This window comes from Homo sapiens, chromosome 2 (assembly GCF_000001405.40).
Source record: "Homo sapiens chromosome 2, GRCh38.p14 Primary Assembly".
In the NCBI taxonomy this organism is placed as follows: domain Eukaryota; kingdom Metazoa; phylum Chordata; class Mammalia; order Primates; family Hominidae; genus Homo; species Homo sapiens.
Window position 1 is genome coordinate 70,693,717 of NC_000002.12, and position 27,103 is coordinate 70,720,819.

At 46.7% G+C, this 27,103-nt stretch overlaps 1 protein-coding gene across 6 annotated transcripts in view, besides 4 other annotated features; it reads right to left on the reverse strand.

Moving 5' to 3' along the window:
• ADD2 (adducin 2) overlaps positions 1 to 27,103 on the reverse strand; it is a 111,417-nt gene that overhangs the window by 36,933 nt on the left and 47,381 nt on the right. For 4 of the 6 annotated variants that reach the window (NM_001617.4, NM_017488.4, NM_001185054.2 and 1 more), the window contains exons 2-6: positions 19,350 to 19,468; positions 12,510 to 12,726; positions 10,605 to 10,743; positions 2,529 to 2,680; positions 2,005 to 2,085 (exon numbers count right to left, since the gene is read on the reverse strand). In NM_001617.4, the coding sequence (NP_001608.1) occupies positions 2,005 to 2,085; positions 2,529 to 2,680; positions 10,605 to 10,743; positions 12,510 to 12,692 (555 nt within the window). In that variant the 5' untranslated portion in view covers positions 12,693 to 12,726; positions 19,350 to 19,468. Of the gene's footprint in view, positions 1 to 2,004; positions 2,086 to 2,528; positions 2,681 to 10,604; positions 10,744 to 12,509; positions 12,727 to 19,349; positions 19,469 to 23,965; positions 24,033 to 27,103 lie in introns of those variants that run through there. The other 2 variants (XM_011532502.3, NM_001185055.2) reach the window with 2 other exon arrangements.
• Positions 16,653 to 17,182: an enhancer, noted in NCBI's record as "NANOG-H3K27ac hESC enhancer chr2:70937501-70938030 (GRCh37/hg19 assembly coordinates)". NCBI's record gives its function as "activates a minimal SCP1, AML or CMV promoter by ChIP-STARR-seq in naive H9 embryonic stem cells {active_cell/tissue: H9 hESC(naive)}" and the evidence as "EXISTENCE:reporter gene assay evidence [ECO:0000049][PMID:30033119]".
• Positions 18,950 to 19,506: an enhancer, noted in NCBI's record as "H3K27ac hESC enhancer chr2:70939798-70940354 (GRCh37/hg19 assembly coordinates)". NCBI's record gives its function as "activates a minimal SCP1, AML or CMV promoter by ChIP-STARR-seq in primed H9 embryonic stem cells {active_cell/tissue: H9 hESC(primed)}" and the evidence as "EXISTENCE:reporter gene assay evidence [ECO:0000049][PMID:30033119]".
• Positions 19,507 to 20,062: an enhancer, noted in NCBI's record as "H3K27ac-H3K4me1 hESC enhancer chr2:70940355-70940910 (GRCh37/hg19 assembly coordinates)". NCBI's record gives its function as "activates a minimal SCP1, AML or CMV promoter by ChIP-STARR-seq in naive H9 embryonic stem cells {active_cell/tissue: H9 hESC(naive)}" and the evidence as "EXISTENCE:reporter gene assay evidence [ECO:0000049][PMID:30033119]".
• Positions 20,063 to 20,618: an enhancer, noted in NCBI's record as "H3K4me1 hESC enhancer chr2:70940911-70941466 (GRCh37/hg19 assembly coordinates)". NCBI's record gives its function as "activates a minimal SCP1, AML or CMV promoter by ChIP-STARR-seq in naive H9 embryonic stem cells {active_cell/tissue: H9 hESC(naive)}" and the evidence as "EXISTENCE:reporter gene assay evidence [ECO:0000049][PMID:30033119]".

The following is a 27,103-nucleotide window of genomic DNA, read 5'->3' on the forward strand; positions in this document are numbered from 1 at the left end:
TCCCTCAGCCCAGCTCCCCCACTTCCTCAGACATGTGGCCTGTTTAGAATTCCCTCTCTCAGATGATCTCTCTCTGATCTTACATATTTTATATCTCATTGTTGGATGTGTGATCTGTTGTCATTCAAGAACCTCCACAGCCTAATACAGCAGCCACCCTCCCATACGGTGCCTTTGTACAAATGAGAAAGCAGGTACCCCCTCTTGAGGACAGCCCAGGGACATAGGGCTTGGTGTGTGGGTATTGCCTTTGTGCAAATTCAAAACAGAAGCCCAATGCTAGGACACTTAGTGAGTGGAGCACAGGTTGGATTTCACCCTCTCTTCTCTTCCTCATTAGCCAGGCTCCCTTGTGCAGTGCACAAACTGCACAACCACACACAGCAGCCCTATGTCTACACACAATTCATAAACATCTCATGCCCATGACTCAAACCTGTATCTCTAGCCTGCATCTCTTCTGAACCTAGAATAACCAAATGCCAACTGACATCTCTTGAAAGTCCCACCAGCTTCTCAAACTCAATCCCATATTCCCAATCCAACTGATCAGCAGGCCTACTAAGCATAGAGGCCCGGAATTTCCTTCCCAGCTTGCTGTAATAACCCCACCTAGGTGTCGGTTGGCCTCTACACAGCTTTCAGAGTGATCTTTCTACAACAGAAATCTGCTTGCATTACTCCCCTGCTCGCATTTCAGTGGCTCTGAGTGTCCAGCAGAATAAAGCCAAAGCACCATAACAGGATCTTCCATGCCATTTATCACCTGGACCCGATCCCCTTCCCAAGGTCACCTCCAGATACTGAATACTTGAGCCAGACTTGGCCTGTCTTCCCAAATGCATGCACAGGGCTCTGGTATGCATCTGGGTTTGATGCATGCTGCACTCCTGCTAAGGACACAGTCACCTCTGCCAAACCTCTCCTTGCCACCATGATCTAAGTCTGCTTACCCCGCTGGTTCATATCCCACTGACTCCACTCCTGCACCATGGTTTCAGCTAGACGCCTCCTCCCTCATTCCCTCTTTCTCCTACAGCTCCTGGCGGGGTAGGGTGCCCCTTTCCAGGCTCCCCAAGCTTCCTTCACCTCTACTGGAACACTCGGTAACCCTGAGCTTTCATAGCTGATTACCTCGCCTCTCTCCTCCAACCAGACCATGAACACCTTACGGACAGAGCCTGTGTCATCCTTTTCTCTGTGGTCCCAACTCTGACTTGGCCATCATCTCCTTGGGTAGCCTTGTGCAAGCTGCTTACCCTCCCTGGGCACCAGTTTCCTTTCTTACCTCTCAAGTGGCCTTGGCCATGGTAGAAGTCCTGCCCTGCCTAGATATTCTATGACTTGCTGAGCCTGGACTTTTGAGTGAGTAGCCGCGCTCTACACCTGAGCATGTCTCAAGCCTGGCAGAAGCCCCCAAGGTAGTGTCCTCCTCTCCGAGGTACATGGCATAGCAGCCACAGCCCATGTATCTGAGAAGGATTGGGCCTTTTCTGCTTCTAAGACAGTCCTTTCTACTGCTTTCCTCCCCCCATCTGGAAATATTTCCTGAACTAAAGCAACTTTTGCAAGCCTCTACCTCATCTAAAAGGAGCAACACTGAAAAGGGACCCAGAAGCATCTCTAATGGTGCCAGTGCTGGACAAATCTCGTGCTGCTTTGGGTCTTATTCTAATGTATCCCCCTAACCAGAAAGGCCCCCCATTCCCAACCATTGTGGTCTAATCCCAGGTGTAGCCATCCCATGAGTCTGCTGAGAGGATGCCAGGCCCATCTCCACTCCCTCCTCCCTCCCACTGCACTTGCCACCTCCTCCTGGCAATTGGTCTCTTGGTCGCATCATGCTCTGGACACTTAGTTTGTTCCATGTGTCTTCTCTGCCCTATCAGATTGTGAGCTCCACAGCGCAACAGTGACCAATTTGGAGATGACCTAGCACTGTGGGAACAGAGAGAGTGCTGTCATTTCAATAAGGAGTGGGCAGTGATGCTGGACTGTACTCACCAGGCTGGACGCTGTGACTTCACTGCAAGAAACTCCCTTAGGGCTGATCAGGAAGTGGTCCTGCTCCTTGCTGACTCTCAACTGGAGGAAAGACACAAGTTCTCAGGGGCAAGGAGGGAGAAAGGACATTTCCAAGGACACTGTGCTTGAATCCCCTCTTCCCCTGAATCTACTGCACCCAAGTCCATCTCTAATGAACCCTTATCTCTCCCCCCCAGCCATAAGAGATAAAAAGAACTCAGCTTTTATTTGGAGCAGGAGAAAGGGAGCTACAAAAGGAAACTCACTATGATCAAGGGTAGCTCTAGGATAGGATCCAGGAGTTCCTTCCCATCCAAAAAAGTGCCCACTGGGCAGGATGCCTTATCAATGACCACAGTGGTTAAAAAACTTGGAAGGGTTCAGTGCATTTTAGCCAAAGGTCACCAGCAGTGCCATGGCCATGCCAAGGGTCAGGAGTTCTCCCTTTGGGTTTTGTGGGACCACATGCAGTGCCCCACCCAATTCCAGGGCGTTCTGCTCACCGTGACATAGGTGTCACTCAGCTGGGCCCAGCCATAGAGGTCCAGGAGTCGGTAGACACTGCTGATCTTGCACCGCATGAGCCGCTCCCCTTTGGCCAGGTTCAGGGAGTCAGCTGTGTGGAGGTCATTGATAGGCGTCATCATGGAGACATCTGCAGGGACAGTGCAGTTCTCTCAGGGCCAGGGCCCATCTGCCCTCCCCTTCCTTGCTCCAGTGTTCTCCAAATTCTCACTGGCACTAAAACTGCACAGGAGACTTCCCCAGGCAGGGAATTAAACATTCTTTGACCCTTACCTGGGGCAGGAGTCCACAGAATCGACGTCTGTGCCCAATAAAGTCTGCTCATTCAGATAAACTTTTGCTCAAAAATCATGGCAAGTCTCAAGGCCACAGAATGAAGGGTTCTGGGAATGCCACACAGGTTCTGGGAATGCCAAGCTTACCATAAACTCTGAAGATGGGCACTGAATCAAAGCAAGAATAAACCTCTGAGTGGAAACATGGGTATATTTCATCAGTTATTATTAATGAAGAAGTTACTCGTCATTAAACCAGCTATTACATTGTTTTAACGACACCATGTAATCACATTTTCTGTGATTTAGAAACAGGGAAAATAGAAAGCCAGATCAGAGCTGGGTGCGGTGGCTCACACCTGTAATCCCAGCATTTTGGGAGGTCGAGGCGGGCGGATCACAAGGTCGAGAGATCAAGACCATCCTGGCCAACACAGTGAAACCCCGTCTCTACTAAAAATACAAAAATTAGCTGGGTGTGGTGGCACGCGCCTGTAATACCAGCTACTCAGGAGGCTGAGGCAGGAGAATCGTTTGAACCTGGGAGGTGGAGGTTGCAGTGCACCACTGCACGCCAGCCTGGGGACAGAGCGAGACTCCGTCCCCCACACCCTCCCAAAAAAAGAAAGCCAGATCAGCCTGAAAGTAACTTCCTCAAGTTTTTCTAACAAGTCATAAACTTCTGGAAGTGAGTGCAGCTGTGGCTGGCTGAAAGGCCAGAGGCCTCAGGCAGGGTACCTAGGCTCCTCTCTGGGCATGCAGTCCCTTAGCTATACGGTGGTTCTTTCTGGGAATTTGAGGGGATGTGGAAGGGATTTGGAAATGGGCCTAGAGGGTTTGATAGTCTTGTCCTCAGGGCATGCAAGGGTCTAGGATATGACATCCAGTCTATCCCGTTAACCATGATGACCACTGCCTACATGCCTCAGGAAGGGAGCAGAGGGCATCTGAGCTCTAGCATCTGAATCAGCATCTAGGAACTAATAAGAGAATCAATAGGAAAGGTTCTGGCTTAAAATGGTGTCTGGCTGGGAGCCTCCTGATGCTGCCTCTCCCAGCTCCCACCAAAGATTTTAATGGATCAGGATGCTCTTTGGAAGCTTTTACCACCTCTGTGAAACTTGCTGCAGTACGATGTATATCCTGCATCGAGTGTGCCATTAGTGGAAGTGATGACGTGGTCTACAAAAGCGAGGGCGGACGATGTATGTCCTGCATCGAGTGTGCCATTAGTGGAAGTGATGATGTGGTCTACAAAAAGCGAGGGCAGACTGGGTGCTGGGCCAACATCCAGCGAGCAGAGTAGGCCTTGAATCACCCATGTCAGGAAACGCACACAAGGGCCTTGCCAACCAGAGGTGATACACCTCCAGGGCAGGTGCCCTGCAAACACAGATAGCAGGGACAGCAGTGGTCCAAAAGCCTAGTTAGACTGCCAAGGACAACAACAAACTTCCAAAGTTAAGGATTTCTAATTCAAATTGACCAGTTTGGGATTGCCTCCTCCCCTCTGTGGGTTCCCCAGACAAGAAATTACTTCTCTGCTTCATGCCTAGCAGCGAGGAGGGCATGTCAAAAGCACAGGGCCCCAGGCAAAGGTGGGCAGGTGGGGCTGATGTTGGGAGGTCTATATAGTCTATACCACAGTTCTTTGAATACTTCTCCTACAAATAACCATGGGGCCCCAGTGATGGCCAGGGGGCCAGAACAGGTCTGAAAATACTCACCCCATCACATCATCTGTGTCTGTATCAAAGACAGTCCCTCTCCCCAACCCCGTGGAGGTTCAACTAAGAGGATGACCTCACCCACAGGTACAAGGGGCAGAAGAAGAAGAGAACAGGAGGGCTCAAAAGGAGCTCCCGATCCCCTGCTCTGAGTCTCAAGAGAGGTGGGATGAAGACAGGTTGATTAATGAGTACAAAAACACAGACAGACCGAATAAGTTCTAGAATTTGAAAGTACAATAGGGCAACTGTAGTTAACAAGAATTCATAGTGTATTTCAAAACAGCTAGAAGAAAAGACGTGGAATGCTCCCAATAAATAAATGATAAGTGTTTGAGGTGATGGTTATTCCAATTATCCTGATTTGATCATTATATTATTATTTATATATAAAAATGTCGCTTGTACCCCATAAATATGTACAACTATTAGGTATCCATTTTAAAAAGAAAATAATATTACAACAAGTTTTTAAAAGCTTATTCTAATTGGCCTCACGAAAGTTAGGATGGCTAAATGTCACGTTTATAAATCAGATCTAACTGAGCCATTTAGTCAAAGTACCTAAGAAAACACAGAAAAAGATGAAAACTCACCATGGTCCCTGAAAGCTAAGACTTAAGGGCACACTGATGCTCAAAACCCCAATTTCTAAGGCAAATGGAGCTAGACAGATAACAACCTATCTGGGCTTGAACTCTTGGTACTTGAAACTTCCCCTCTCCGCATCCCTGACTCAGATATCCTGGATGTGTACCAAGCAGATTTCCAGGCATCCATCTGTCTTCCTGACAGATGTTGATTGGTGAGGCAATGGGAATGCTGGTCAGCCCCATTCCTTTCTCAGGAGGAAGAGTATAATGACAGACGTGGAAAGGATGGTAGAGAATATGACAGATTTGGGAGATAAAAACCAGAGAGCCCGGCTATAGATAAGCCATGTGAATATGGTAGAAGAAACATTTTCTGAACTGTAAAAAAAAAGACCTGTGCATGTGAGTACTCACTGATTATGGGGAAAGTTCATATAAAGAAAAAAACCTACAATTATATGCTTCCTGGTAACATTTCTGAAATACAGGGATAAGGGGAAAATATCCATAAGCATCTAGAAAAAAAATGTTTGGCGACCTAAAAAGGAACCAAAAAAATTGGCTATCCCATTTCTCTGTTACAGCCACAGAATGTCAGATGGCAATGCTATAGGAAGTTTACAAAAAATAAAAACAGGCCAGGCACAGTGGCTCACACCTGCAGTCCCAGCACTCTGGGAAGCGGATGCAGAAAACTCGCTTGAGCCTAGGAGTTTCAGACCAGCCTGGGCAACACAGTGAGAACTCGTCTCTATAAAAAATTTTAAAATTGCCCAGGCATGGTGGCACATGCCTGTAGTCCCAGCTACTTGGGAGGCTGAGGCAGAAAGATCACTTGAGCCCAGGAGGTTGAGGCTGCAGTGAGCTGTGTTTGCACCATTGCTCTCCAGCCTAGGAGACAGGGCAAGATCCTGTCTCAAAAACAAAACAAAAAAAACCCCACTAAAATAAAGTGGCTCCAAAAAGGTAAAAATAAAAGGAAGATCAAAAATACACCAGGCAAATATAAACAAAAACTACGCAGAGGTCATCACATTATTATCAAAATAGAAGTTGGGCAAAACAATATTCTCTTATACAAAGAAGCTATTTAATAGGTCATTTTATATGAATTAAAGGTGCAATCAATAATGAAGCTATAACTATCAGTCATGCTTATGCCGTGAATATTTCAAGACATAGAAAGCAAAAACTATCATAAATACCAAGAGAAATGAACAGAAATCAAATGTAATGGGAGAAAATTGTTTACAAAATCAAATTAAGACAAAAATATAGATTAAATACCATGCTATAGAGATGGTATATACCCATTATCATTTTTAAATGATATTATTAGGTCACAGAGAATACCTGAATATATCTCCAACACAGAAATTAAATAGGCCATATTTTCTAAACATAATGCAATAAAATCCAATGCTATTAGCAAACCTTTAAAAGACTAAGCATTCAACCACTTGGAAATAAGAAAACACTCCTAGATAGCTCTTAGAAGAAAAATAAAGTCCAAACAGCAACTGCAAGCTATTTAGAAATTAACAATAAAATAATTACTATGTGTCAAATTCCTGAGATAAGGCCAAACATATACTCATAGAAAAAAATTTATAGCCTTAAATGTCTTTATTATTGAATTCAGTATAAAAATAAATACATTTTATGCTGCTCTAGAAAATACATAAATAACAAAATAGAAAAGTTATGGAAAAGGATTAATGAATATAGAAATAAAACTAATGAATCAGGAAGCAGAAAGAATAACAGGACCAATAAGTAAATCCAAGAATTGGCTTATGTGAGATGATCTATGAATAAACAAATATCTAGATTGGTCAATAAAGAGAAAGCAAAAATTTACATAGCACCAGGAATGAGAATGGGATGTTATCTCATCTACTTTAGCAGGAAATTTGAATGATAAAAATAATATTGTAAATGACTCATAATTTTGAAAAACTCCATAAAATGGTTTATTTTACACAAAATATATGACGAAAATTTAACCAAGAAGCAGCAAAATAAATTTTAAAACCCCAGATGAAACTGAGGACAAAAACATCAAAAATCCCTAAAAATATTCCAGATCTAGATGACATTCTAAGTGAATAATAAATCTCAAGGAACAGAGATTTCCTATCTTATTTAAACTATATCAGGGTAAAAAAGAGAGAGAAATCACCTTGATTCATGTTATGAAATTACAGTCATGGTATCAATACTAGGTAAAGACTGCCCAAAAAGTGAACTGCTAACCAATCTCATGTGTGAATATGAATGCAAAAATCTTTAATAAAATTCTGGAAAATCAAATCCAGAAGGGTATTTTTAAAAGAATGCATCAAGACCAAGAATGATTTATTTCAGTAATGAAAAAGGAGTTCAATACTCAGAAATCTGTTACTAAAACTCATCACCTCAATAGTTCAAGGGAAAAAAAAACCAATAAATGGCCAAAATGTATTTTATGACATTCAACATCCATTCCTGAGAAAAACTCATAGTGAACTAGAATAAAAAGATATTTCCTCAACACGATAAAAAATAATTGTCTCAAACTCTTGTGGTAAAACAACTTCCATTAAAGTCAGAAATAAGACAAGGATAATTAATCTATTATTAAACATTGTTCTGAAAGTTCTAACAGATGCAATGAGAAAACTGGAAAAATAAACCAATGGGTAAATGTTGAAATGAAGGAAGCAAAATGATCATGATTTGCAGATTATGTGATTTTTGTATATACAATACCCAAAAGAATTAACTGAGATGATATTAAAATTTAAATAAGAGTTCAATAAGGGGCTAGTGTATACACACATGCACACACACACTTATATGTATATATATATCTAACAATTTATCTTAAATGAGAACTATAACCAGAAAGAAAATAGAATGGATAAAGATTCACTTAAAATAACAAAGTTATTTAAAAATTTCAGAGTAAACTTCATAAGAAATTAGTAAGAACTACATGAAAATAATTACTAAACTTCTCTGATGGATATGAAAGAAGACTTAAATAAATAAAAGACATATCTCATTTCTGAAAAGATTTACAATTCACTCATGTAAATATCTTTAAGTACCTACTATGTGCCAGATACATTCTAAATCAAAGGATATAGCAGTGGACCAAACTTACAAATTTCCCCTACAGAGCTTACATTCTAATATAAAATTATAAATTTATAAATTCTTCACCAAATCAATTTATTCGTTTAATGTAATCCCAATCAAAATCCCAAAAGGAATTTTTAAGGTCAATGGGGGGACTTGATAAAATAATTCTAAAGTTTGATTTTTGTTTTTGCTTTTTTGAGATGGAATCTTGCTCTGTCACTCAGACTGGAGTGCAGTGGTGCAATCTCAGCTCACTGCAACCTCCACCTCTAGGGTTCAAACAATTCTCCCACCTCAGCCTCCCAAGTAGCTGGGATTACAGGCATGCAACACCATGCCTGGCTAATTTTTATATTTTTAGTAGAGACAGGGTGTCACCATGTTGGCCGGGCTGGTCTCAAACTCCTGACCTCAGGTGATCCACCTGCTTTGGCCTCCCAAAGTGCTGGGATTACAGGCATGAACCATTGTGCCTGGCCTAAAGTTATTGTAAAGAATAAACTTGTACAAACAGTTGAGGAAAATTGACAAATGCATAATTAAGGGTATTTGTTCCATCAGATGATGAAACATGGGAAAGGTATTTCTAAGCATGCAATCAAAAGCAGAACACACAAAGGAAAATTACAATGGTTTCCGCTACACAGAAACTAAAGAATTCTACAAGACAAAAAAAATGCCATGGACAAAACTAAAAGACAAAGGAGAAACTGGAAAAAAAAAAAGCAATATATTTGACAGATAATAGAGAAACAGCTTTACTTTATAAAAATGTAAAAATCTATAAGAAAATAATACACTAATAGGAAAATAGGCAAAGGATGTAAAAAGGCAATTTACTATAAAAAGAAAGTCAGGGGCGGGCACGGTGGCTCACGTCTGTAATGCTAACACTTTGGGAGACCGGGGTGGGTGGATCACTTGAACCCAGAAGTGCCAAACCAGCCTGGGCAACATGGTGAAACCCTGTCTCCACAAAAAATACAAAAATTAGCCAGGCATGTGGTGCGTGCCCGTGGTCCCAGCTACTTGGCAGGCTGAAGTGGGAGGATTGCTTGAGCCTGGAAGGTTGCAGTGGGCTGAGATTGCACCACTACACTCTAGCCTGGGCAACAGAGTGAGATTCTGCGTGAAAGAAAGGAAAGAAAAGAAAAAGGAAAGGAAGAAGAAAAGAAAAGAAAGAAAAGAAAAAGGAAAGGAAAGGAAGAAGAAAAGAAAACGAAAGAAAGAGAAAGAGAGAAAGAGAAAGAGAGAGAGAAAGGAAGAAAATCATGTCCAATATGTATGTGAAAATACATTAATATATCCAACCTCATCAGTAGTCAAACAAATGCACATTAAAACACAAATAAAGTATTATTTGTCACCTACTGAATCAGGAGGATGAAACAAATGGTAGTATACACTATGGACCAGGGTAGAGGAAATGGGCACTCTACCGCATTACTGTTGGGAACGTAAATTGGATCCATTTGGAGAAAGGATGTAATCTGCCATTCTGCATTAAAGTCTTTAAAACATGCATGCATGTACTTCAATTCAGCAATTCTACTAGTAATTTATCTTAAGAAAATAATCACGGATATAATCTCAGGTTTATTTACAAGGATGTTTATTGCATTGTTCCTAACAGAAAAAGTTGGAAATAACCTAAAAGTCCAACAATGGGAAATTTATTAAATAGCATGTATCCACCAAAAATTATATTATAGAACCATATTTTATGTGATTACATTTGTGTTTGCATAATCTATATATGTTAAGAAAAAAAGGACTGGAAGGATATATGTTCACCAAAATATTAAGAATAGTAATATGAGGGCTTTAAGAACACAGTAGAATGATTTCTGCTTCCCTTTCTTGGTTATTTTCACAGTTTTCAGCCATAATCCTGTAATAATCTTATTGAGGGGGAGTTATTTTTTGATGCTTGTGTTTTAAACGTTATGGGCAGAGCATAACAGCCCAGGAGGGTGGCTTCCTGCATAGCCCTGGCTGGCTCCTCTCAGCCCTCATCTGTGGAGTCAGGTTGGCCTGTCTAGTGGGGCATGGAAACACAGGCTTCAGTGGTCTCTTCCCGTCCACTGAAGTCACCTCCACCCTCTTATTCCTGGCATTGGGGTAATTTTTCTGTGGACGTTTAATTTGCAGCAACATCAGAAGCAGAGCCAGGTACCTCTCTGGCTGCTGCTGAGCTCCCCAAGGCCTGATAACACAATGGGCTGCTTACTCCATAGCCTGGCAACCAGATGCTTCTTGCTGCTCCTCCCTCTCTTCCCCACCCCACCCTCCCCTCCACCTCTGCTCCTGGCAGCTCCCCAGACACCACATACTCATGGAAGATGTCGGGAAGACTGCGTGGGAGGTGCTGGCCATGAAGTCCGCGATCTGTCGCAGGGCCCAGATGTTGGAGGAGTTGTTCCCCTTCTTCATCTGCTCCTGGATGAGGCCTTCCAGCTCCTCCCTGAAAGACTGAAGCAGGCCCCGAGGTGCTTGTCCCCCCACAGCCTCTCACACAGCTGCCCAACAATGAGCTCTTCCAAGTGCCCACCCCTTGCCCCTGGGTCAGCTAGGTCAGGGCCATGCTCAGGGTCCCCAGCTACAGGGGACACTGAGCAGTTCCACTAGGACCTCAGGAATTGCTGTATGGGAAGCAACAAAGAAATGCTGGGAATGGATCTTGTGTTCCCTTGCCCTGTGGGCAGTAATCCAGATTCCAGGTCCTTTCTGTGTCTAAATGAGGGCCAAGACCCCTCCCCACCATCAGACATGGTAGGACTTCACTTTAGTAATGAAGGACATTTTTTTAGGCAGAACTGAATGGAGAGAGCCACCATCCCTCTCCATTAGCGATGCCTGTGATTCTTTCGGGCTTCAGTTTCCTCATGTGCTTAATGAAAGGGTAGGAGGAAGAACAGGAAGATTTGATGACCTCTGAGGTCACTTCCACTCCTGATGTCCAACTCTAAGCCTGGCTTTTCAGACCATGAAGCCATAAGCAAGGAATCCTGCCCACCAGGTGGCAGGAGAAAACACTCAGGAGGAAATGGGGGGCCACTTAGGTGTGTTGGCCAACCTGTAAAAGGGAAGAAGGAAGCAGGCCCTCCTCCAACCCCTATTTACTGCCTGAGCCCTGAAATCTGGGCTGGTGCTAACTCTGCCGCCTCTCCTAACCCCCTTGCCACCCCTCCTAGTCACACTCTGGGGGTTTTCCCAGAGGCTCTTCACCCCAATGCTTTCAGCATCTGCCATATTCCTCCCAGCTCCCCAACACAATATCTGGGCACAGATATTGGACCTCGGCCCATTCCCTGGAGCTGCTCTGTGTGGCCTGAGTATGCACCATGGCTCCCAGCCAGGGTCTCACACAGCCCCTGCACAGGCCCTGGCTCTCTGGAGCCCAGAAGGCCAAGGCAGAGCGGCTCCCATCTCGAGCCCATCCTGGCAAGCAATTGGAGATGCCAACTCTGTCCCTGGGCTTCCCGATCCTTAGGATCATGGGCTGATTCCTGAGGCCCCCCAAGCTCTTCCTCAGTCAGACCCCTCTTGCCTCCACCACAGTGATCTCCCTCTGCCTTCAGTGGTCCACAGGGCCCACCCTTCGGCCTTCTCAAGGCACTACCTGCCTCAAGGAGGAGCTGTGTCCATGCCAGGCAGGAACCAACTGGCCCCAAGTAAGGAGGGATGTGAGTGATCCCGACTTGCCTTCCCTTCCCACACCCCATCCCACAGCCCGGCTGAGCCCTCCACTCTGCCCACCTCCTGGGGCTTCCAGGCTCTCCTCAGCCCCATCCCATTCATGTCAAAGCTTCATTTGTCCCGACAGAAAGTTCTTACTTTGTGGTGTTCAGTAAAGGGAGCCCCAAGCCCTCCTCCTGGCACCCTGCTGGTCTCTAGTTTACATGGATTTGTCCGTTCACTGTCATAGCTTTTGGTGAGGAGGGAAGACTGGGAACTGAGGCTCCGAAGGGGCACAGGAAACTGAGGGGGACTCCTGTCTCCGTCCCACCTCCCCCCGCACCAAGCCAAACTGCCACACACAAGCCAGGTTCTGCCATCCACCAGTTACAAGGGAGAGTGTCAAGGCCCCAGGTGACCAGATCCGTCTTGCTCAGTGGGCTTACATTTCTACTGACCCTGAGCAAGGGAAAGAGGAGTTACTCATCTTTCGGGTGGGTACACGTCCTGAAGAGCCAGCGCCCCCTGCGCCCTCTCCCGCCCGGGTCAGCCCCACTCACGGGACTCTGCAGGATCATGGTGACGCGCTTCTTCTGCTCCATCAGGTTGAAGTCCTGCCGCAGGTCCGCCGCCCGGTTGCGAAGGCGCATGTACTCGGGGTCGTCCTCTGAGAAGCGGTCAAAGTAAGGCTGCCCCTGCGGGGGCGGCGGCGAGGCAGCCTCGGGGACCGTCTCTTCGCTCATTTTCCCGGTGGGTTTGCAATTCGCTCCTGGAACTCTACAGAGAAGGGGAGAGGGTATGCGGTCAGGTTGGTGCTCCCCATCGGGGTACACGTTTCTCAGAGCACAGGGCTAGGTTCAGTTGGATTCTCAGTGGGGTACGGCTGTTCCTAGGATGGTAGAGGCAGAGCCTGGGGAGGAGGGCAGGACGCCAGCAGCGGCCCCATATACCCATCTATAGGGGCGCTGCTGTGCCATGAGACTAAGTAAAAACATGGGTTCAGGTGTCCACTCCCTTCCCCAACTAGCCAGCCCTTAAATGGTCACACTTGGCTTGGAGTAGAGAGTTCCCCGAATGGAAACATGACCTGCAGACCTTGTTGAGCATTTCTGTGATGCACACCTATGCAGTGGTAAGCTACTTACTGGAAATCAGTACTTCATCTAAAATGGAAACCCTCTAATAAGGCCCCTCAAAAATTATGGTGGAAATAGCTAATGCATGCTGGGCTTAACACCTAGGTAATGGGTTGATAGGCGCAGCAAACCACCATGGCACACATTTACCTATGTAACAAACCTGCACATCCTGCACACGTATCACAGAACTAAAAAGAAAAAAAAATTATGGTGGGAAATTCACAAAAGAATACTACTATTAAACAGGGCCTACTAAGACTACTACTAAAAGAGCACAGGAACTACTGAAACGTGGGAAGCGCTTTGCCCAATGCTTTTCTTTACAACTTAAACTTCGCTCTGGCCCCTGGAAAGGAATTTATTGGTGAATCTGTTTTTCTGAAACTTGTTTTAATGCAGAATCAGATTCTTATTCCAAGTTTAAAAAGAGGTGTGCAACTTTATTAATGGAAAATTATTTTCTCTCCAATCCCATTCAACTCATGTTGAGAAACAACAACTAAATATGGTTTGCAGGGTGCCATGCTGCCCGGCTGCCAGAGCCCCACGTGCTGCGTGTAAACCTGCTCCCTGGAGCAAGGACCACGACAGCCTCTGGAAAGTCAAGCTGGGGGAAACCTGTGGATTTTTTCTAATCAAGAATACTTTTTAAAATGTGTGAATGATGAATGAAGAAATGTTTTCTGTTGCTATCTTGGAGCCCTTCTGAAGAGTAAGCCTGCAGTTCCGGGCTTCACTTCCCGGCAGTGGGAATTTGCGAAGCCCGTCTCCTTTCCTGTGTCGGCACTGCAAGGCCTTCAAATCGGTGCTCTGCCCCTTCAACACCCAGGGTGGCCTTACAGAGCGTTGGCCTTCTCCCTGCTGGCTGATTCTCTTCTCAGCAGAAGGCAGCATGTACTTTGGCTGAACAATAATTAGCTTTTTAACATATATGTGAAGATACAAATAAAAGAGCATTACAAGGGACCAGGACACCTGGGTTCTCATCCATAACCTGCCACTCCCTTGCTTTACCTCCATGGGCTCCCATTCCATGAGGAGATGGAATGCTCTCTTGTTCTTTGGGAGAAGACTCCTGGCCTCCCAGGTCCTGATCTGCCCTTTGCCTGTGGCTGGCCAGTCCTGGCTCCCTCCGGCCTTGCTCCAGCAGTCCTGTTGGCCCCAGCCTACCCTTGATTCTGGTCAGAAGCTCATTACAAAGGAGGCTTTGCTGATGTCCAGTAGAGCATATTCTTGTTGTCCCTGAGCTGCCTGTAACCTCTTCTTCCACATTCTACCAGAACTCCACACACTACCTTTGCAGTCTCTCTGGGTGGGGTGAGGGGAGAATGATGCCATAGATAAGCTTGGAGGACAGTGGAAGGCCATCCCATCAGCCCAGAATACACAGATGGTTTCCTGTTGTTCTTGTTTGCATTCTTCCTCTAGGGGAAAGGCAAACAGTTCGTTCAAGGGAAGGCGCATGGACAGAGTTCCTCAAGGGTCAGCTGATGGCCTGAGCCCTCAGCCTAGAGCAGTGGTTCTCAACCTTGGGTGCACAATAGCATCACCTGGGAACTTTAAAAAGTACTGATGCCAGATATTCTAATATAATTAGTCTGAGGTATGACCTGGACATCAGGATTTTTCAAAAGCTCCCTAATCCCTAGTGAGCAGCCTCGGTTGAAATATCCATAGTTTAGATGTTAATGGTTGCAACATGTAATGGAAGGCATCCATTCCAGGTGTTGGCCATTTCTAGCAAGTCTGACATAAGATGGCACAAAACCTCACATAATCTGACTCTCACATCACAGGCCAAGTCCCATAGCTGTCTAGGCCCCTCCCCTCGTTCAAACCACCATCTGCTATCATACACTTGGCCTGGGACATGTTACATTAAGTTTGGCCTAAAGCTGCCTCCTTACATATTTTAAGTGTGGCCTAAGGGCTTTTCCACGTATAATAAACTGTAACCCAACTTGATGTGTAATAGACTGTAACCTACTCTTGTGACAAGTAGCTGAGTCTCAGCCAACCACAGCAGCTGAGCTTCCACCAATCACAGGTAGCCAACTATTCAAACACTATTCCAATAAAGCAAATACAAAGCTGTAACCAATCCAGTCATTTCTGTATCTCACTTCCATTTTCTGTAGGTCACTTTCCTTTTTCTGTCCATAAATGTATCCAATCATGTGGCAGCCTCAGAGTCACTCAGAAACCATTCTGATTCTGAGGGCTCCCAAGTTCCTGAATCATGCTTTGCTCAAACTCTGTTAAGTTTAATTCATCTAAAATTTTTCTTTTAACAGGCAGTGGGAGTGCTCCAAATGCCACCATGGCCCACTTCTGCAAAGCTGCCAAACCAGGACCTATGATCTTAATCATTCCACTAGTTAGTCATCTTCTTATGAAAGCCCTTACCTGATCTCCCCCAACCAGCACCACACTTACCAGCGGTGTTGACAAAATATTTGATAATAGGGGACGGAGATGAAGGGTCGGAGGTAGGGGAAGGGGTCTGCTGGGAGTGGGAGCCAAAAAAAAAAAAAAAGATTCTGTAAAGAAAGATTTTGAAACAGATTTGGCAGGCTGCTAGAATGGTTGTGGTCATACTTGGCAACATTTAAATCCAGACCCTTTCCTTTCATCTGAATGGAAAAAGAGTGAGTCAGGGATGTTGCTGGTGGACTGAGCTCTAGACTAGAAGTCAGGGACCTGCAATCTTGCCCCTATCTGTCACTCAGTAGCTGCATGGGCTTGGGCAAGTCATTGCCTCTCTCTGGGTCTCACTTTGCCCAGCTCTAAATCAGAAAATGAACCAAATGACCTCTGGGGTCCCTTCTAGCTCTGACACTCTATGATTTATCTGAGTTGGAGACAGATACATTCGTGTAATAAAGGCGGAAGCATGGAGGATCTGGGTTTCCTGGAGCAAGAGATCTTCCCGCTTTCCCCCAGAGCCTCTCCCACAAGTCAGATGCCAAAAGAGAAACATCTGCAAAGAACACACATTGGCCTTGTGGATTCCAGTCAGTCCCACGTGCATGGCGTTAGTTAAGAATATTTCACCTCTATCATGCTCACACCCAACCTCATCCCTGGACCTTGAGGATAAGAAGGGATGACAAAGTCAAACATAATAGAACTGCATCAGAGCCACACAGACATGTGGCCCCCACTCAGATTCTTCTGGGCAGGCAGCACGGCAGAACAAAATTCTTCCAGAGACATCACCTCATCGAACCCCACTCCTTCTCTGTTTAGTGACTCATCATAGTAAATTAATTCTCTTTGGCACTTTCAAAGCCCTGAACCTTTTATATTATTTTTAAAACAGCAACAAGCAACTCCCCTTCCCCAGTGAGTACACTGGATGTGAGCATAGGCATGTGAGCCCCCTGTGCTCCCTAGGACTCCAGGCTCTAAGCCAACTGAACTCTCAGCTTCTCTGGGACTGGGATCATTTTGGCCAGCACAGCCTTGTACTGAGCCTTCCAGGCAGGAAAAGGTTGACCCTCTCCCCTTCCCCATGGAGTGGTTGCATTCCCCAGTAACTGATCTGTGAAGGCTGTGAAGTAGCTCTGCCCTCCCTGAAGTACAAAGAACCAAGAAGCTCTGGGCCTGATGGACAGGAGCTCACACCGCTATGCCCCAGGGCCTGCCTTCCCTTCTTAGAGCCCTGCCCCAGAGGGTTGCTCCAGAGGTACTCCGATGGGGGTGGTGTAGGACATGGAAGCCCTGACTCCATCACCATCACAGCAGGGGCCTGAGCCAACCCTTTGGCTTTGTGAATCACAGGCATCCTCTTGTGCTCCTTCCTTCTGTCTCCAAAAAGTTATGTGCAGAATGGCTTAGCGATTAAAAGCACAGACTCTGGAACAAGACTACCTGGGTTCAAATCTCAGCTGTGCCACTTATTATCTGTGTAATCTTGAGCTAGTTAACTGCTCTGTGCCTCCGTTTCCCCACATATAAAATGGGGACTGTAGTAAATTAACTACCTTGAAACGTACTTGTGAGGATTAGTGAAGTTAATGTATGTGGAGTATTTAAAACAGGGCTTGGTATATAGCAAGTGCTATTAACTATTTACTCTTATCATGTGTGATTGAGGGGCTTAAGTCATCTTAGCATTAGGAATTCAAGTAATGAGAGGCTTGTGATTCAATTATAAACAGGTGCACACTAAATAACTGTAATTATGTGTTTTAGTCTAAAAAACTAATTCAATCTTGAGCTACATCGACAAAAAGAAGAACATCCAGAAAAAGACTGAGAATGCCCAGTTTCCCAACCAGATAATGGGAACAGGTCAACCTCGATATCACAAAAAAGAAGCTCACCAGGATGCTGAAGATCAGAGGAGACCAGCGTGTGATGAGCCAGGTATGATATAAGAAAGACTATATGTCATCTTTGTCCCTGGTTCCTGGCACAGAGTTTCAAAAACCTTTGGAATTCCTAAAATGCCCAAAAGACAGTAGGAATGTCTTTTGTTATTCATCATGAGCCTCTTTCAACTGAACCTGAGTTTATACTAATAAGGTGACCTATGATAGGCCCTTGGTTTCAAGGAAGGGTCTAGCCACCCCAGAAAACCCAAGCACATGATTAGAAGCCTGTAGCAGCAGCTCCACCCCCCACCAATCCCGCCACTTCCAAAGTGGGGAGAGGGGCTAGAGATTGAGTCCAGACAAGTGGCAAATGATTTAACCACTCATGCCTCTGTAACAAATGCCCCTTGATTTTTAAAAAAACTCTGGACAGCAAGGTGTAACAAATGCCCCTTGATTTTTAAAAAAAACTCTGGACAGCAAGGTGTGGGGGAACTTCCTAGTTGGTGAACACATTGATGTGCTGGGAGAGTTATGGGCCTGGATTCCACAGGAGAGAGCACGGAAGCTCTGTGCGCCCCACCTTACACTCTGACCTATGGATGCATCTCTTCCATGTGGGTGTTCCAGAGTTGGACCCTTTGAAATATGATTGCAAGTACCATACTTTCGGTGAGTTCTGTGACTCATTCTAATGAATTATTGAACCTGAAGAGGGGTCATGGGAACTCCTAAATTTATAGCCAAGTCAGTTGGAAGCATGGGTGACCTGGGGACCCCAGTTGTGGCTGGTGCCTGAGGTGGGGATGGTCATATTGGTGACCTTGTCCTTTATCTTGTAGTAGTTAGCTTGTGTGCCCTTCAACTTAGGGTAGTTCATGTCAGAATTGAATTGAATTGTAGGACAGCCAACTGATGACAGGGAATTGGTGACATAATATTACCAGGCAACTTTTATTCATGATGTATTTTCGCCCCCAGGACCAATCTATGAGGTCGATATTATTGTTCCAGTTTTACTTGAACAAAATAAAGATAGGCTGGGTGCAGTGGCTCATGTCTGTAATCCCAGCACTTTGGGAGGCCGAGGCGGATGGATCACCTGAAGTCAGGAGTTCAAGACCAGCCTGGCCAACATGGTGAAACCCTGTCTCTATTAAAAATACAAAAATTAGGCGGGCATGGTGGTGTGCACCTGTAGTCCCAGCTACTTGGGAGGCTGAGGCAGGAGAATCGCTTGAACCTGGGAGGCAGAGGTTGCAGTGAGCTGAGATCACACCACTGCACTCCAGCCTGGGTGAAAGAGGGAGACCCTGTCTCAAAAAAAATAAATAAATAAAAAAAAAAAAAAAGAAACTGAATCACAAAGAGATTAACAAACTTGCTCAAGGTCACACAGATAACAGTGGAATCATGATTTCAACCAGGTTTGTCTCTAGCCCCACATCCTGCAGTTCTCCACTCCATCATTCTGTCCCAGAACATCTGCTGGGCTGCCATGTGGAAGAAGAATTAGGCTGGTTCTCTAGAACCTCAGAGGCCAGAACTAGGAAACCAGGTGGTTGTTACATACAGGCAGATTGCAGCTGAGGGCATGGGGGAGAACTTCCTAAGGGCAAGAGCTGCTCAGTAATGGGAAGGTGGAACAGGCTGCCTTGTCAGGTGGGGAGTTCTCCCTGCTGGGAGTCAGAGTGAGCACAGGATGCTGTAAAGGGGCTTCTGTCCTTGCTGAACCACGGGCAGGTGGTGGACTAGTGACTTCTAAGGTCCTTCAGATTCTATGGTAGGTCTTGAGTCAGCAGGATAAGGGGACTTCATAGCAATGACCTGAGTGTCTGGAAGCTCATCCTCATGCAAAGGGCCTTGTCTGTACCTCACGTGATGGGCCCAGCCAAAAAGTGTGCATCACCCCCGTCACCACCAGAAACTACTGCTTACTTACCGGGAGGCTGGCCCAGCCCTGTCCAAGGCTCCTTCTGTTCACTGCTCAGTCTGCACCCCCTAGCTCCACTCTCAAGGGTGCCGGCCACATCTACACAACCTCAAACATCCAGGTGGAAACTGCAAAACACAAACACGACAAGTGTCAGGGCCTGCACCACCATGACTCTTCACCTGATTTATAAGAGCTTCTGGGAAATTCCTTAAAATGAACTTGAAATGAATTTTTATTTTAAAAGCAAATTATGCCTTTAAAAAGGTAAAGAGGCCAGGCACAGTGGCTCATGTCTGTAATCCCAGCACTTTGGGAGGCCAAGGTGGGGGGATCACGAGGTCAAGAGATCGGGACCATCCAGGCCAATATGGTGAAACCCCATCTCTACTAAAAATACAAAAATTAGCTGGGCGTGGTGGTGGGTGCCTGTAGTCCCAGCTACTCTGGAGGCTGAGGCAGGAGAATTGCTTGAATCCGGGAGGTGGAGGTTGCAGTGAGCCAAGATCGCGCCACTGCACTCCAGCCTGGGGGAGGGAGTGAGACTCTGTCTCAAAAGAAAAAAGGTAAAGAAAGCTGCATTATCTTTACAATTGGGATCAAAATTCCTTTTAAAGAGAAGAATTGGAGAATTTCTTTGCTGAGTGCTGGCTGGCAAGGCCTCCAGGGAAAGCGGTTGCCCTGGCCTGGTGGAGGGCGCAGAATGTGGAACTCCTGCACGAGCCCAGACGTGGTGGCGAGTTGCTGGGCTGGGAGGATCTCCCTTCCTGAGACCCCCAAAACACTTCACTAACAGCTGCTAAACTCACAGATGCTAATGTGAGTGATGTTTGGATGCAGCCCAAGACGCAGAAGCAGCCTGAAGAATATCGCATCCCAGGAAAATGGGAGAGTTTTAGATTTGCACAGGCTGTCCATGGGTGAATTCAAGGCCATTTCACCCAGAGTTCAAGGGGAAGAAAGGCCCCAGCTAATACCTGGATAAAAGGTCCTAAAGTACTACTGAAGGAGGAATATAAAGTTGTTAATACCTTACAAACTAGGGTGAGTTACTACTCCAAAACTCCTAGGAATCAAGGTCTTCAAAGCATTAATTGTCAAAATGTTTAAGAATAAAGACAAGTAATGACAAGTGATCATTTTCCATTTTCACTTGGACATCCTGTTGTTCTGACCCAGAGCTGCTGGGGGCTGTCTCACCCAGGGCTGGCAGCATCCCTGAGTACCCCCACCCTACCGCCACCTGCCCATGGCTCTGGCTCACTGGCAGCTCACTTCATCCCTGACCCAATGCTGTCCAGAGTGGAGGCATTCGAAGAGACTCGTCCCACCAATGAGGGACAAGGAGAACTCATCTTGGTAGGTACAATGTGCCTGTGGGAATCCAGGATACCTGCACACCCACTAAGGCTCAGCCTCCTCCTCAATCCAGCCAGGGGGCCTGGGGCTCAGTGTTTCAGTGCCAGATGGTCCCTGAGCCCAGTCCTGATGCTCGCCCATCTACTTAGGAACAGGTTGCTTCTAAGAATGAGACTGTGCTCTGCACATCCAGTGCCGGCTGAGCTCCTTCTCCCAGAGGTTCTATTTTTAGCTAGAACAGGGTCCTAGCCACCACTTGATGCTGCCTTTCTCCAATGGCCTCCCTTCCAGGGCTGGCCTCAGGGTGGGGTTTGCTGATGTATCTCCACTGCCCTCCCTAAGAACCAATCTTGCAGCCTCAAACACCAGCTTCCTCTCCTTCCCCAGAAGGTCTGAGGCTGCCCTGTGGCCACAACCTGCTAAGATTTGAATTTTCAGAATCTCAGCTATTTTTTGTGTGTGCTAATAGAATTCATCCTTTGCCCCTAGAAGTAGCCTGCACCATTCTTGTAAGAAAGCAAACATTGACCCCCAATGTAAATATACAGTGAACAAAATAATTCCCACCCCAACCCCCATTGCTGCTGAAATTCCCCACCAGAGCACCATTCCTTGGGTTATGGTGTTACGCCCTAATTAAAATGAAAATAGTCCTGAGAGGTATTTGAGGCAATTGTATTAGCTAGAAACCATTGTCCTGTGGCAATGAAACTGTCAAATCTCTGATTGGGGAGTTGGGCTGAGCAGGCAGGACAGGCACCAGATCAGCAAGTTTTAATGAGAGAAGGGAAGAGAAAGAGGCCTAATGCCAGGGCTGCTCTAGAGAGGCCCCAGCACCTAGAGCAGGGCTGCCATCCTGGGGGAGTTTAGATAATCCTGGCCAGACAGAACCCTCTGAGCCTGCTGAAGCTGCTGTACCAAGCACAGCATCACCTCTTGTGCAGACTTCAGCTTCCTAGCACATGCGTTGAGAACCTAGCTCTCTCCAGCTTCCAGCCCCCACATCCCTCAGGCAGAGCAGAGATGCAAGGGACAGTGTGAGCCATGGTGCCCCATGTAGTGAAAACAGATGCCTGACACCCCCTGGGTGGTTCAGAAAGCACCAGAGGCACAGCCCCTCAGAGCCACCTGCCCCCTGCTCTTGGTGTGCAGTCAAGCTGGGCTGTGAGGCGGCAGGAGTTAGGGCAGTACATTCTAGTCCTTGTTGGCTGCCCTCTGAACTGTGAACCCGGACATTAAAACACTCAGGGGCCTTTGCCTATTCCTGTGTCCTGCAGCCTCGTTAAAAATCAACCTGCAAATGGACCATCACTCCTGCTCACCACACACCGCAGCCTCCCCAGCCCCCTCCTCTCTGCCCCCTACCAACCAGGCATCCCACCATGGGATCCCACCTTGACTCCCTCTTTTTGCCCTGCACATTTAATTGGTCACTGAGGTCTCTGGTTTTATGTCCTAAATATCTCTCCACCCGCAGCGCCAGGCCCTGAATCATGCCTCCATCTCTCCATCCTTTAATGATCTCTGGTCCACAGTCCTTCCTGGCCCATGCCTGTCACTGCCCTGCTAAAAATCCATCTCTGTCTCTAGTGGCCGTGTTCCTTAACCTTTTTTTTTCTTTTTAAAGCCCTGCTTTTCCAACCAAAACCTAGTCAAATTTAGCCTTTATTACCAAAATGGCAGGTATACTTTTCACATTTTCCAAATATAAAGTGTTAAATCCAAATGGGCTTTGTCAAACCAAATGCACACCCCATGTTAACAATCCAAGCCCATCGATGCCCAGCTGGGAGCTGTGCGTTTTTCTCTCTGCCAGCCCCTTCTCCTTGAGGACAGCTACCCTGTAGGATGAGGCTGAGACTCAGATGACACCTCTATTCCCAGCCCCCTGACCTCTCTGCATTTGCCCTGCTCTCCAGGGGCTATTCCCAGGACCCAAGAGGCACAAAGCAGATTCTTGGTTGGGGCTGGAGTCTGCCAGGAACACCCTCCTCTCTTCACCTCCTCCCTGCATTTCATGTGTCCTCTCCTCTGGCAGCCTGCCCCCTACACCCCCGCCCTGGGCTTTCACATCACTTTTACTTGCCTCTTCCATTCCACTTGCAGCCTGGCAGCAACAATCTATTACCGTGAGCTCCTGGCAGGCGGCCTGTGTCTCTGCGTTTCTCTATCCTCCCTGTTGCCATAGGGCCTGGTGCCAGTTAGGTGCTGAACAAATGTTAGTTGAAGGTAAATTGGGAAGAGCTGGGCCAGCTTAATGAAGCAGCCCTGTCCAGCCCTGAGGTCCCAGCAGCAAGTGAGGACTGAGGGGAGCTCACGGTACAGTGTGAGGAGACAGACCCTGAAGGGTAAGGTGCTGAGTGTTCATGGAGGAGTGCATGGCAGGTGCCTCAGTGCCCAAATCACCTCTTGTCTTGGTATATAACTGAGTGGCTGGCCCCTCAGCCACCCTTCTTGCCTAATTTGAGACAGAACCCAGCAACAGATTGCAACTCTTACATTAACAAATCCGACATTAATTATGGGGAGACAGAGAGGAAGGTAATATTACATACCATGCATCACACACAACAACCTCCTTGGCTCTCCCATGTTCAGCCCTGCTCTCTTCTCTGTCTCTCTCACCTCCTCCCTTGAGCACCCCCTCACCTCCCTCAGCTGGGACCCTCCTCTCTGCACAGAGGAACCCAGGAGCTCCCTCTAGGCCTGGCAAGCTCACTTCCTCACACCTCTGCAGCCCCTCAGCAGAGTCCCTGCTTGGGATTCGCCCTGGTAGGAGGGCAGCTGGAGACTACACATCATGAGACACGCTTCCTGTCACCAAGCATCTTCTTCCCTGTCCCACTGAAGACCAAGTACATGTAACCACTGGAGTATGAAATCACATTTCTATGGATCGTTCCTTGTGGCTATAAGAGAAACAAAAGGTCTACAAGGGGAGTAATAGATGCCCGAGTTGTCTGACTTTTTGTTAAAATCGGCTTAAGCTTCATGTGCCCTAAGCAGAGGCAGGCGCCATCTCCTGCCACTTCAGTGGGGGAGTCTCCAGACAGGAACAGACAGTCTGTGTGGCTCAGCACCCAGAGCTCAAAGTGGAAAGACGCAAGCTGCCACTTCCCAGGTGCTCCCCAACAGCCATGGCCATGGGTCCCTCAGCAGTCCTGGCCTCTGAAAGCCCCAGGCCCCGGCCCCACGGATCAGCTCCCCACAAGGACGGCATAGCATTTGCTCCAGGACTTAGGCTAGAAGTCAGAAGCCAGACTTACCGATCCCTAAATGAGACTCCCACAAGTGAGAGAGGAGATGGTCAGGGCTGAGCTGCTGCTACTTTTACAGAATAAATGAAGACAGTTGAATAAGGGACTGGACCGCACCCTGCCTGATGTGTTCAGATAAAGAGAAGGCTCATGCCTCTGGTGGGTGGGATTATGGGGAAAGCTTATCATCATTTTTTCAAATGCTTCTGAATTTTACAAAGTTCTAGATTAGGTATTAACTGCTGTGATCATTTAAGCCAAAAATAGTTGAAAAGAAGAAAGAGAGAAAGAGGCAGGACAGCGATGGTAAAGTCTATGTCCATCTCCAGACACCCCCTTAGTTGGAAGAATCCTTTAACTCCTTCACTGCTGCAGACCCCATAAGTACTTATTTCTGGGCATCCCTGGTGCAAACATTCCTAGTGAAGTCCAGTGAATTTTAAAAGTCCTCCAGCAAACGACCTCAAACCTAATAGTTGGTAGGCAACGTTTTTCTGTTCTTCTATCCAGGAATTGGATTGTTGTGGCATGAATGGACTGAGTATTCTTTCTTACAGACTTGGAATCATTCCCATACCCTCTAACTAAATAAACAGTTATTTGTCAAGTATCTGTTGGTGCCCGGGAGTGAGCAAGAACTAGAACTGGATGTGAGAGGGAAGATGGCTGGGAGAAATGAGACATGGCCCTGCCTGCTAGAGGCCCACAGTCATGTTCGTATTCCTGAAAAACTTGCATGCAAGTGAAACATACATAGATACATGCACATATATGCAGATATGTAATTAACTGTTAAGGGCAACACACTACAGGGCCCCAACAATGAATGCTGAGGTGATCAGAAATGAATGTGTTTAATGCTTGTTGGGAAGGGAGACTGGAAACCTTGGGTGCACATAATGAGGACCAAGGTCCTGAGTTAGATCCTGAAGAAAGACATTATTCAATCAACAAAAGCTGTGAAACTCCAATAAGTGCCCAGTGCTATGCCCAGCCCTGCAGTGAAGGACCCAGCATCCTGGTTTTTCGGGAGAGGAAATTGAGGCTGCAGGAACCTGGGTGACTTGATTCAGGCCACAGAGCTGGTGAAAGGCAGAACCTGGGTTTGAACCCCTCTAGTTCCAGAGCCTGTTCTCCTGTTACTTCACCACACTTTCTGCCCCTCATTCGAACAAAGGGGAGCAGATGCCAGGGGCCTGGTAGGAGGTGGGGGAATGGACATCAGCAAGTGGCCAGAGCCCAATTTCTATATTCCTGGCAGAAGCCTTGAGGACTTGGCCAGCACCAGAAAGGATGATTCTACTTCCTATTTCTGGCATGCGGGGCTCAGAACCAAGCTCTTCCCCAGCACAGAAATGGGGATTAGGAGGCAAGGAAGAGAGTAGGCACCTCTGGTACTCACTCTGACAAAGTGAACTTAGCTTTTAGGTAAAGAAGATCCTGCTGGCCCCTCAAGAGGACAGGTGGGCTGCAGTGGTGACAGCTGGTGGTGGGTCACCCACCTGCACTCCCAGGGCTGCCAGTCACTGCAGTGTGGGTACAGCCACCTATGAGACTTGCTTCATCTGGACTCAATACAATCCTTCCACTAAAATATCTGCCATGGGTCAGGACCTGGCTCACCACTGGGGATGTGAAGGGATGCAATCGTAATCCCATTTCTCAAAAGGCCCAGGACAGGGGCATGGGAGGCGGCTCTAGAGAGACGATTACAATACTGGGGTACAGTGCTCTGGTATAGGTTCATGAAGGTCACCAGGGGGTCCTAACCTCAAGGCTCCAGCACTGGGCTTTAACCCACTCATCAGCAGCCTCTGCCACTGATCACAAAACCATGTGGACCTCATGCCTTCATGAAAGGGAAGAAAGGGTTGTTGGGGAAGCCCTGGTGATGGAGAGACAGTGCTGAGCTAGCAGGATGGCTGGGCTCAGTCTTCCCACACTCAGTGCCTTCAGTAAAAAGGTCAAACTTGGAAACTATGCAGATAAAAGCCCATCAAAAAGGCTGTCTAATTGAGCTGACTGTCCTGATTCACTGTTCCACCTCAGGCTGTCCTGGAATCCAGTCACAGATACTTTTAAGCAGTCACCTTGCCTGCCTTTGGCCTTCAGGCAAGTCAGTGGAGCTATATTTTGAAAAGTTTCACCTCAATCAAATTCAAACATGAAACAGTTGATTCTGCTCTTTGGCCCAATCTGAGAGCATCTGTCCTTCAATAGGAAGGTGAAGTGTAACTCACTGGATCATGTGACAGGATTGTCTTGTCCCCATCCCCAACCACCCCCCACCAAGAAATCAAGGAAACAGCTATTGGGTATGTATCCTTTTTTGTCTAATAGAATAAACCATATCCTAAGCCATAAGATAAGAGGTGGGAATAAATGCTCATTTGGCAAATTAAGGTTGAAATTGTTTTGTGGGGTTTTTTTTACTGGGCATTTCCCCCCACTGTTTGGGCATAAGAGAAAATAGGAACACTTTGCATCTAAACTGGAGGGTAATCCTGCACTATCCCTCCCCTCTCCAGACTGGGGAAGCTGTGAACGTTCAAAACTGAAACAAGACTCGGGAGTGCTGGTGTGGAGGAGGGGAAGGAGGAAAGTTAGTAGGCCCAGAGAGAGGAGATGGTGGGAAGCAGAGGGAGTATGTTAAGGGTGGGAGGTCTAAAGGCTCACATGGGGAACTGCTGGCCTCCGGAATCTCCATGTGGAGACATCTCAAAAGCTGAGCAGTGAGGCTCAGGCCATGATAGGGTGTTAAGAACAGGATGGCAAAAATAGGAGAGATGTTGTTCGACTGTCCACTCCTCTCCCCGATGATTCTGTATTCTAGCGTCTCCTGCAGGATCCCCAATTAACCATATGTTGGGTCTCTGTTCTCTAAATCTATCATTTTTCTTCTCATTAGTTCTATTGTTGACATATTCCCTACATTCTGACAGTTTGTATTTCCCATTTCACTTATTGGATTACGGGGATATTAAGGAAAGAGCTATTTCACCTTCTGTATATTTCTGTGTATGTTTGCATATCCATGTGTCAGAGACAATGCTATGTGCTCCCCAAACCCATTTCCTCTTCTTCCTGGGCGCCCATGTTTCCCAGGCCTGCTTTTGTCTGGACAGAACCCTAGGGAATGTAAGCCAG